Raw genomic sequence first — 11,175 nt, 5'->3', positions numbered from 1 at the left:
GATGAATTAATGTTGTGTGAAAGAATTATGGTGTCTGTAAGGAAATTAAAAATTTTGTTAGAGATGCAATCTAGCAATTTCGCCACCCTTTGAAATGCAGAACCAGACACAGCTGACAAATAAATCAGGGATTTTGCAGACTCTCGACACGCCTACATGCCATGGATGCTGGAATCACAAGACCATTCTTTTTCCTGTCAAAATTGAGCCAATTATTGAAAAATACCCTTAAGCTCCATTTAACTCATGTTCCTTGACTATTCCTTCAGATTTTTGGCAAGAGAGAAATTATTTGCAAATGACATACTGTATGTCAGTGCTCTGCATTAGTCCGGATGATGCTTACAGAATTAAAATGGAACAAAACAAAAACTGCCACTTAGCTTCAGAGGTGAATTTCTGGACATTTAGGTTGTTACACACTTGTGAAAGGGTACACCATGGAGATAGGAAAAGTCACCTACCATTGAACATGCTGTTGGCAATAGCACCACAAGGAACGATGGGGGTCTTATTGTCGGACATTTTAAATGGGGCACAATCCTCAACAGCGTGGATGCAAGAGGATACAGCAATGAGAAATGCTTTTGGTAAACTCTCTTAGAATGTTAAAAGTGAGAACATTGGCAATATAAATCACCCCCAATGACTTATTGGCAGTAACTAAGATTACAGACTGCTACCTGGTTTTCCTAGGCCTCTGGTTTACTTAGACTGGGACATTTTTGTGTTTTGGAGATATGTATGTGTGTGGGTGTGTGTCTCTGTGTTTTTTCCTCATTAATAATACATAGCATACCAAAAATGTCTGCAAAAAGGAACTTTACCTTACTGTCTGTGCTATATAATGCGCTAAACCTATAATGAAGTACATTTTAAAATCCTCTTTTTATTGACATGTAGCTTATTTTATTTTAGTGGTTTAAAATAGTAACAACTTATTTTTCACTTGTATCACTATCTAATGGGGTGGTGGAGGTAGGGAGGCTTTGTTCCACACTCTTACTCAGGGCCTCGGCAATATTGAAGGATTACATTCAGAAAAGTACAAAAATCATGAGTCTACAACTAGATGACTTATCACAGGGAATCCATCCACACAACTACCAAATACATTTTTAAAAGAGTGGTTGCTAAAAATCACTTCAGTATAATAATGTCGCTATGGAAAAAATTTTATTCTAGCTTTTCTTGCTAGCACGCTATCATCTACCAAGAGTAAAAATGTATAATCATAGGTTTGAAAAGGTATTCGATTAAAGCAAAAGGCTTTTACTCAATCGAATAGAGCCTAATTTCCTAAAAGTAGGCTGGATTGAAGGCCCCAGTGACAGGGAGGACAATGGTAGTTAGGCTCAGCCAGGCTGAGCCTAACTACTCAAGGTTGCTATCAAAATGGTGCGTGAAAGGATAACCATTCAGTTGGACAAGATTCACATCACTGCTCTAAAGAGGGAAAGTGCTACTTTTTAATAACAGTTATCCTGACTACCCAGCCCCTTCAATTTACACAAGAAGGAAATCAGCATTTCTGTTTTGTAGCATTTTAGTTTATTTTCCATCTCCTCTTTTAGACTGAAAAATACACTTGGTTTAAAAAAAAGAAAAAGAGTATTATACCAGATTAAATCAAGCCTTACTTTTACATCTTTGCCCACCAGTTGTCTATTACTTCTGGATCGAATATATAGATACAGGTTCTGATAGAAGCCATACAATTTGTAGTACATATAAACATTACCCTGTGTGGGAGAAAAGCAAGAAGAGGAGAGTAAGAAAAATTAACTGGAATATTAATAAACATGGACAGGAAATTTTTAAATAAAAGCACAGAAAAAATTGACAGGAACTCAAAGCCTATTTATGGGAAATAGAAACCCAATAAGTCATTTTAAAAAAATCAATTTTGGGGCTGGGCACAGCGGCTCATGCCTATAATCCCAGTGCTTTGGGAGGCCAAGGCAGGAGCATCACTTGAGGCCAGGAGTTTGAGACCAGCCTGGGCAATGTAGCAAAACCCTGTCTCTACAAAAAAAGAAAAATTAGGCTGGTGTGGCATGCACCTGTAGTTCCAGTTACTCCAGAGGCTGAGGAGAGGATCCTTTGAGCCCAGAAGTTCAAAGTTAGAGTGAGCTATGATCGTGTCATTGCACTCTAGCCTGGGTGACAGAGTGAGACCCTGTCTCAAAAAAAAAAAAAAAAAAAAAATTTGCACTGGGAAATCCTGTTCTGTACAGAATTGTTGGAATAACTAAATAACTATTTTTGCATGTTTTTAAAGAGCTGCTGCATTCTTGCCATGAAAAATTTTTATAATCAAGCATATTTTCAATACATAAAATTTGGTTTTATAAATGTTCTCATTTCCCAGAAATATGAGGAAAAATGCTTTGCCTAGAGGTTGTGTTGACACCAAAAATAACGTGATTTTTACAGCAAATCCGTGAAAAAGAATGTAAAATTCAAGCCATTGAGCATATTTAGGTGCATGTGTACGTTGAGCACGTGAAAAGCATGAGACTGGAAGCTCCTTGCAGTCCCAGTCTAGGGATTTTTTTTTTGGTAATTTATTTATTTTTCTTTCTTTTTTTTTTTTTTGAGATGGAGTCTCGCTCTGTTGCCCAGGCTGGAGTGCAGTGGCGCGATCTCGGCTCACTGCAAGCTCCGCCTCCCAGGTTCACGCCATTCTCCTGCCTCAGCCTCCCGAGTAGCTGGGACTACAGGCGCCCGCCACCACACCTGGCTAATTTTTTGTATTTTTAGTAGAGATGGGGTTTCACCATGTTAGCCAGGATGGTCTCGATCTCCTGACCTCGTGATCCACCTGCCTCAGCCTCCCAAAGTGCTGGGATTATAGGCGTGAGCCACCGCGCCCGGCCTAGAATTTTTGGTTTTTTAATCTCTGGGATCTAATGCAGTACCTGGCACATAATACTTGCTTAAGAAATGGTGAACTATTTGTTATAGAGAAAAAGATGGAATAATTCACTGATCCAAAAGAAAGAAGGTGATTTTCACCCTAGCCATGAGGAGCCTTGCTGTCATGAGAGATATGTCTTTCATGTATGCTGCCATGTAAGTAAGGCTGCCCGGACACAACCTAGCACCGTGGTTCCACCTCTATGGTAATATATTAAGGCCCTGGAAATTCTCCAGGCCGACTTGATACAGATTTTATTAATAGCACATATGGAAATATCCATATGGATGTAACTAACATATTCATAGATTCTACTAACAGCACATATAGAAATGTCCAATGTAGCTGTTTAAAATTAATACACTCCATACCTCCAAAATAATGAAGACCTGCATCCAAAAATATAAAAGCCTAACTTTAATTAAGTGCTTCCCATGTGTTAGGTGCTATATTCAGTGCTAGAAGTACAAAAGCATTCCTTTACAAGTCCCTGAGTCCATTGATTCTTTTACCCTGTGTAAAAACAGCATTTTGGAAAGGCTTTGACCTTATTTCCTAAGGACCTTAAAGAGCATCTTCTTTAAGATGAGCATGGAAAATGGGAGGTGGTATCCATGGTAAACAGGGAAGGAAAGTCATGGTAAATGTGGCCAGCCTTAGAATGCAAGAAAGGCTGAAGACGAAGAATGCAAGAAAGGCTGCATGACGAAGAAGCAGGCAGCATCATAGTCAACAGGGAGTGTTGGCATGAAGGCAAGCAAGCCAGGCTTAGTGTGAAGGACCCATTACGTTTTCTCATCCAAAGCAGGAACCTCTATTGTTGACCCATGACTACAGAAAATATGAAATCCACAGAATGGAATTTACCATACATTTTCTTGGAAGCTAAAAAGAGAATTCTACTTAATCAGAGTTATATGTTCACATATATGACAAAATAAACAGACAAAGAACGCTCAGCACACTAGGGACTGGGGTGTTTCAATAGTCTCTTTCAGTGATTCTTTGTGCAAGATTTAGCTGAACAAGGCCTCCAAGATCATCTTGATGATCCCTGGAGGCACAATTCACTTTATGGTATTTCTTCTCTTTAAATTCAGTGGCACTTTGTGCAGGATTTCTTCGCTTATTTTAAGACAGAGCCTTGCGTGGATTCATTGCTGTGGTTCCCCATGTGTCATGCATGGTAGCTGCTGAGCTGAAGGCCCTGTGATTGCTCTAAGTAGTTTAGTTGGGTTTTTATGAGAAGGCTCTGCCTGAAGGGAATGGTTAGCAGCTGGTAACACTTCATTTGCTGTTTTAGTTTTGAAGGACACTGATCGATGGGAATTGAAGCACTTTTTGTTTTTGTTTTTGTTTTTTTCCCAAAAACTTTAGCATTCTGAGCCCTCAAGACGAAAGGAGAGAGGAAAGAAGAAAGGAAGGAAGGAGGGCAGCAAGAGAGGGTGAAGAGAGTGAGGGAGGAAGAGCCAAGACTACAATGCATTCTTAAAGTTTCAGCAAGGCTGACAGGAAGTCCCCAAGGACATCCATCAGAAGAGTCCCCACTCCCAGGAAAGGACCTACCTCGATGTCCCTACTGTGCTCAGCCACTGGCTGAGGTGGCTGTGAAATCATGATATTGGTGCAAACACATGGTGATTTCAGAGCACAGCAGCCGGGGATATCCCTCAATTACACTCCCTGCAGTAGATCTGAGAGGAGCCTTTTCATGGCCTCCACAGTCTTACTTGTTAGTCAAGACTTAATCAAACAAAAAATTTGATTTCCTTCAACTCCTCAAGTGTACTTTAAGGTCCTGTTCTGTTTCTGGACTCTACACTTTTCCCCCCTGCAGCATTCTCCACACTGAACCGGTCCCCCATCCTTCCCCTTCATAAATGACTCTACATGGGCTAAATCTAGGTACAGGGAGGCCTTCTCTTGAGCCGCCCACTGAGCATTCTATCTCAAGGCCCTGCTCCCACCTCAAATTCAGCTGGTTCTAAACCAGACTCATCATCTCCTGAAAAATATTCCTCACTTCTCTCCTTCCCTCCTTCCTTCCTTCTCTCCTCCCCTCTGCTTTCTAAGGGTCAGAGCTCTCCCAACCTCCTCCTGCTCCTTCCCCATTTCCCCTCAGAGGCTTCACCCAGTAAATCTCTCCGATGTCTCACCCTGTCTGGGCATCTGCTTCTCAGAGGACTTGACTAACATGAGACTTAAATCAGCCCATGAGTGGGGACTTCTCTCAATATTTCTTTGGCATTTCTCACAGTGCTGGACAGCCAGACTCTCTCCTTGGGAATTACATAATTGCACATGTGGAATGACTTGGGGAGACCCAAGGAAGGTTTCCCCAAGTGTGTGACCCCTGACACCAACCTACTATGTGACCTTAGCCAACTTACTTCACCTCTTAGCCCATTAATTTTCTCACCATAAAATGAGTGGTTAAATTCAATGTAAATTCACACAAAGTCCCTGTGCTGATATTTAGAGTAAAACCTGTTTGGTAGATAAGATTTATGTTACAAAGTTGGATAGGTAAAGAATCTTGCAACTTAGAAACAAAGGAGGAGAATAATACTCAAAAAGGAGGGAGGGGATATGAACTCAACAATCTTTCGGATTCACCACCACCATCCTGCTTTATGTTTCATATTTTCAGTTTTGGAAAGCATTTCATGGAAATTGTGAACTTACTGCTAAGTGTTACATAGGAATAGATCAGTGTAAAGTCAACCGAGTTTCTTGAATTTCACCTACCATCATTTTTCCTGAAAGGTAAAAGGGAATAGAGCAGGTGCATTCCTTGTCAAAATTAGAGGCATTTTCTCGCAGTTTTGCACAATTTGCACATATTCTTGTGTAATTAATCTGTCAGGCAAGGAAAAAAATGATTAATTAAAAGGTTACATGGGTACATACCTTAAAATTCAAATCTGGAGTCCACCCAAGTCTCCGCCTGTCTGGGTCAGGGGCATGGAGTCTAGGACACGAATGGGGCAGCCCACTGTGCAGGGCCAGTATTTCTGGGGATGTTCAGGAGGCGTGGGCCTTCCCACAGTCTTTCATCTGGGGACTTGGCAGCATTTTGCCACTGGCCCAGAGTTTGGTGTTTCTGTTGCCTATTTATATAACCTGTTGTGATGAAGCTTTACCCTCGATCATAAAGAGGTGTCAGTTGCTAGGAAGGTATTAGTCAATGACTCATGAGAACTAGGCTTACAGCCTGAGTCTAATCAACTTTATGGGGAAGTCACTTCACTGTTTTTCCATTCTATTGTATGGAAGATATTTATACTAGTGAATTATTCTACATGGCATCCAGAGGAAGTTATTAAAAATGAACAAACAGAAAAAGAAGTGTTTCCAAAATGTAAGATTATTGACGTATGTTGAATTATTCTGGTTCTAAAATGCTGCTGCATTCTGTTTTTTAAAAGTAAAATTCTGTGAAAAATGGTTTAATGGACTCCTTAAAAAAAGGAAAAAAAAAGGTAGTATGTCCCAAATTGGTGGCTCCTGTGAGCTCTGGCTGAGGCACTGCATTCTGTGAAGATGCAGCTAGAAGAGTAAGGAGGAGAGGCTCAGGCGGGTGGGCACAGGGCTGCACTGCTGCCTTATCTGCAAGAATGTTCATCTCAGGGGCCCTGGGGCTGTCCTGGATGCTGCAGTGGGCTGCTTCTGGCTTGCCCTCACTGTGTTGAGGAGTGATTAGACGATTATGGGAGTGCGGAGAAGCAGGGAAGCAATGGAGTGGCTTTCCCCTGGGTAAGGTGCTAGTAGAAGTTAGGATTCTTTTGGAGAGAAGACTAGCAAGGAAGACAGAAGGAATTTGCATCCTTGTAAAGCTACTAAGGGTTTTGAAGCCCAAAGGTGAAGTGTGAACACTAAATTGAAGACTAGTGAAAATGCTACACTTCATTGTACTTAGATGCTTATATGTAGCTAAATCATTCTTTAAATACACAGCAAGGCTTGAACTATTATTTTGAAAATATTTATGCCATTTCTGTTTGTAGACTACATTTCAATTTATAAAAAGCATTAAAGAACAGGGCTGTATCCCAATGGAGAGACAGCATACTGAATGGTGACTGAGGAAACTGGGGTTCTAGTTCAGCCAATCTCTGACCTTGAGTTAAGTGCTTAACCTCTAGAGTCCACATTTCGCCCATCAGCATCATTTCATGCAGCAATTAATTGATCTGTGAGGTCATTGTAGTATACATGCTACTTCATGAATTCCTCTTGTGAGTTCTATCAATGTAGTATTCAAGAAAATATTTCATGATCAAATAATTTTTGAGTAGTTGATATCTATGGTGCTTTCTTGCCTAAAAAATATCCCTTATCTATTGTCTATGCAATGATGGTATCCTCAGTTTGCTACTTGAGTGGACTTGTACATGAATAGCTATGAGATGGAGCAAAGATCACAGTCTGCTCGTCATAGAATTTTGGAGAGGCAGAAATTATTCTTGTTTAAAGTGAACTGCAGAGAGAGCACATCCTTGTGTCCCAGGGCTGAGTGAGAAGAGGAAAGGCTAACTCAGAAGTCTTTTCTATGATGTTTGTGCCTGATCACATTGGCCTGGAGTGTGCACTCTATATTATCACCCAGTGATACACTGGTTAATGAAACACTGGTTTTCGAGTATAAAAATGAAGTGTCAGAAGCAATCCTGTCTGAAGCAACTAAAGAAACAATGTTAGTTGGAAAATGCCCATAGATTTCATGAGATAAAAGCATTCTGTTTGTGGAGGGGCCATGGCCAATAGTTGGTAATGGAATGAGGTCACCTTCTCATGCATGGGCACCTCTTAGTGAAGGCTGCACTCCACAGTGGGGGGGTGGGGGGCAGGTTTGCAAGGGAGGGAGTAAGAATGACATGGAAGGAAGAACCAGAACGAAAGGGATTGGTGAGGAAGAAAGTAGAAAAGTAAATTGCATGAACTCCGTGGAAATGGACATCAACGTTGTGAGCCCATTCCTTTGCTATCCCCTTCAGCAAGGCAAGATTCATCTCCTCCTGCCATTTTGCCTGTGCCACATGGTGGAGCCTGGTGGGAGTTTACATATAACACTGGAGGTCTTGCTGTCATTTAATTCCTAGGGAGATAAGCGGTGGGAGCTGGAAGTGGGGAGGAAAAAATGTTAAGTAGAGAGGCAACAGAGCAGTGTGCTTTGGGAGGAAGAGTAGAGCCTGAAAAGACATTTTCCTCTTTGGGTTCCGCACTATCTGACCTAGTCCATTCTTTCAATAAGTGTGTGCCTATCACATACTGGGCAATGTGCAAGGAAGAGGGTGGTGAGGCAGCTGGCTAAGCTCTCTGTTCTTACCACGTAGTATTTTACCTATTCTGTTCTCAGCTCATTGAGGGCACAAATCCACTCTTCCTCATCTTACTCATCTGCATAGTCAACAGAACCTGTAGGCACCTTCAGACACTCATAAATTTTATTTTATTTTGAGATGGAGTCTCGCTGTGTCACCCAGGCTGGAGTGCAGTGGCACAATCTTTGTTCACTGCAACCTCTGCCTCCCAGGTTCAAGTGATTCTCCTGCCTCAGCCTCCTGAGTAGCTGGAATTACAGGCATGTGCCACCATGCCCGGCTAATTTTTGTATTTTTAGTAGAGACAGGGTTTCACCACAGCTGGTCTTGAACTCCTGATCTCAGGTGATCCGCCTGCCTTAGCCTCCCAAAGTGCTGGAATTACAGGCATGAGCCACCGCACCCAGGCGACACTCATAAATTTTAAACCAATGTTGGTAGACTTGGCCTTAATCTTAATTTTGCCAGCAGCCATGTCGGGAGAGGGAATAGATCAGCTTTCCATGGTTACTTCTTGCAGAGTGGAGCTCATGCGGTCTGGGATGTCCAGAAATCTGCCTGGAGTTGATATGGATGAAACATATACTTAATAATTAGACTGAATATGGGCATGGCCAATCAAGCCTTAGACTAGCTCTTGTCTTCCCTCTCTAGACCAGCTTCAGGGATTCTCATCCTCCAACAGCTTATTAAGTTGGCAAAAGGCTTGTGCCTGAGAGGTCTGCCCTTAGCACCAGCTTTTCTCACTCTGAGTAGAACTTAGCTTTGCTAAATATCCTTAAGATGCCAGAAAGACTTGGGCTCTTGTCTTTCCTGGATCTCAGAGGGAGTTCATTTGCAAAGGGAAAGACACAATGCTTGAATGTGGGGCAATATTGAAGATCTGTATCTTGGACACTTTACTCTTTTTATCAATATGACTCATGGGTCTCTGGCAGTCATGTGGCCTTGACTCTCCTTCTTCCCCTATTGGTCACTTGCTCTCTTCCCTGCCAGCATAAAAAAAAAAAAAAAAGAAAGCTTCAGCCAGGCATGGTGGCTCACGCCTGTAATCCCAGCACTTTGGGAGGCCAAGGCGGGCAGATCATGAGGCCAGGAGTTCAAGACCAGCCTGGCAAACATGATGAAACCTCATCTCTATTAAAAATACAAAAAAATTAGCCGGGTATAGTGGCAGTCGTCTGTAATCCCAGCTACTAGGGAGGCTGAGGCAGTAGAATTGCTTGAACCCAGGAGGCGGTGGTTGCAGTGAGCCAAGGTCGCACCACTGCACTGCAGCCTGGGTGACAGAGCAAGACTCCATCTCGGAAAAAAAAAAAAAAAAAAAAAAAAAAGCTTCTAACTTTGTCAATCCCTTGTACACAAATATGTCTGAGCTCACTGGCATGAGAGTAACTGCCCTCAAGAGGGAGCAGAGATGAACAAAGCCACTCTACACAGGCTCTGTCACCATCTGTGCTTGCCAGCAGAAACAGGGATGTTCCCGTCTTATCCATACCCTCTTGAGGGCCTGTGTTCTCAAACTAACCATTCTCACGTATGGTGCCAAAGCTGAACATTCTCAGAAACTGCATTCAAATTGTAAGATGGGACAAACCTCTATTTCCTGAGTGCTCCTTGCAGACAATATAAGGATGATGCCCATACAAAGGCAGAATATTCCTGTTGCGAAAAAGACAAAGAGGACTCTCCTGGCCGTGAAATATAGCCGGTGGATGGGTAACTCCTGCTGCTTCAGGGCAGAGTTGTCTAGTAATCTGGACAGGCAGTGCTGTGCTCTCTCCTCCATTTCGGTCCTGCAGGTGACTCGGATACTTTTGGGACATTTAGAACATTTTTACTCATAGTAATACCACATAATGGTAATGTGAAATGAATTATGTGAACCCTTCCTTTGAAGTTGCAAAGTCTTTCTGCTTCCCGGATTATTCCTTAACCAGAGCTGGTATTTAGCAGGAGCTCAGCTGTCTCCAACCAGCCATTACTGAGTATAACTGACTTAGGATCAAAAAGGTTCTTGTGTTAAATGTCATGCCTAGGATGGATAGTCCCCAGCAAGGTCTGCAGAAACCAACATCTGGTGACACTAGGAAGCAATCACGATGGGCTATTTCTGGGATTTGGTGAGTAATTCAAGGCAAGCCCTTCCTGAGAGGGGGAAATGGATTTATCTTTAGGAACTTGCCTAAATCCTTGGAGATTAATAAAAAAAAATAAAAGGGCTGTCAGCTTTTCTCCAAATGTGGCTGTTGCTTAACATGAATATAAACTAAATTGGAAAAATACTCTCAGATCATAGCTAACTTTGCTATTTGTGATAATGAGGAAGAGAGCAGCAAACAGGAAATTGTAGAACACAGATGTCTCATCTCAGCAGCTTCCAATTTCTTTTTCATCCACAAAAAAGGCTCTAGTAGAAAATGTGGATTAAAAACATCTCCTCCTAAGCTGTCTTAAGTGCATGCTTTGGGGTACCCCAAATGAGACAAGAGAAAGGAAGAGGAAGATAATCAATGAGATGTTCAATATTGAAGTACAGTATTAGGTCTGGTTTTGGGTTTTTTCCCTTGTTAGAAATCCACTAACATTAGTTTCCTTAGGCCATTAATAATTAATAATTACTTCTTTTAAAACTGGCATTTAGGATTTAGAATTAGAATTTTTAAAATTAGGGAGCATGTGAATTTCTAATCTTCCCTTTTAATTTACATTAGTCAGAGAAGCCATCCTGGACTATTTTTGTATCAAAGAAAGTAATGACTTTGGCAAATGTACCTAGTTTGAAAGAATACAAAATTGATGCAAATGCTTACACTAGGAAGTTTCCAATTCGGAGTTAAAGCTTTCCATTTACAAACTGTATAAAAAGCAAAATACCAACGGGAAATTTTCAGCATGACATTTGAATCTAATTTGGAGGTGGCAACTAGT

General features: G+C 41.6%; 1 pseudogene across 2 annotated transcripts, besides 1 other annotated feature; it reads right to left on the bottom strand.

Annotated features, from left to right (window-relative positions):
• Positions 1-1,533: 1,533 nt before the first annotated feature.
• TMEM30CP (transmembrane protein 30C, pseudogene) lies at positions 1,534-9,896 on the bottom strand (annotated as a pseudogene). 2 transcript variants are annotated; one of them, NR_028357.1, is made up of 3 exons: positions 9,842-9,896; positions 5,669-5,779; positions 1,534-1,742 (listed from the first exon to the last, which is right to left on the bottom strand). The product of NR_028357.1 is annotated as a transmembrane protein 30C, pseudogene, transcript variant 1 (transcript). The 2 variants fall into 2 exon arrangements; NR_028358.1 differs by lacking the exon at positions 1,534-1,742 and having other exon boundaries at positions 5,525-5,779.
• Positions 9,061-9,355: an enhancer, noted in NCBI's record as "tiled region #11159; HepG2 Activating DNase matched - State 9:DNaseU". NCBI's record gives its function as "activates a minimal TATA promoter and a strong SV40 promoter by Sharpr-MPRA in HepG2 cells {active_cell/tissue: HepG2}" and the evidence as "EXISTENCE:reporter gene assay evidence [ECO:0000049][PMID:27701403]".
• Positions 9,897-11,175: the final 1,279 nt, after the last annotated feature.

Source organism: Homo sapiens, chromosome 3 (assembly GCF_000001405.40).
Source record: "Homo sapiens chromosome 3, GRCh38.p14 Primary Assembly".
NCBI lineage: Eukaryota > Metazoa > Chordata > Mammalia > Primates > Hominidae > Homo > Homo sapiens.
The sequence above is the reverse complement of the archived record's forward strand: the minus strand, read 5'-3'. Positions and strand labels throughout refer to the sequence as shown.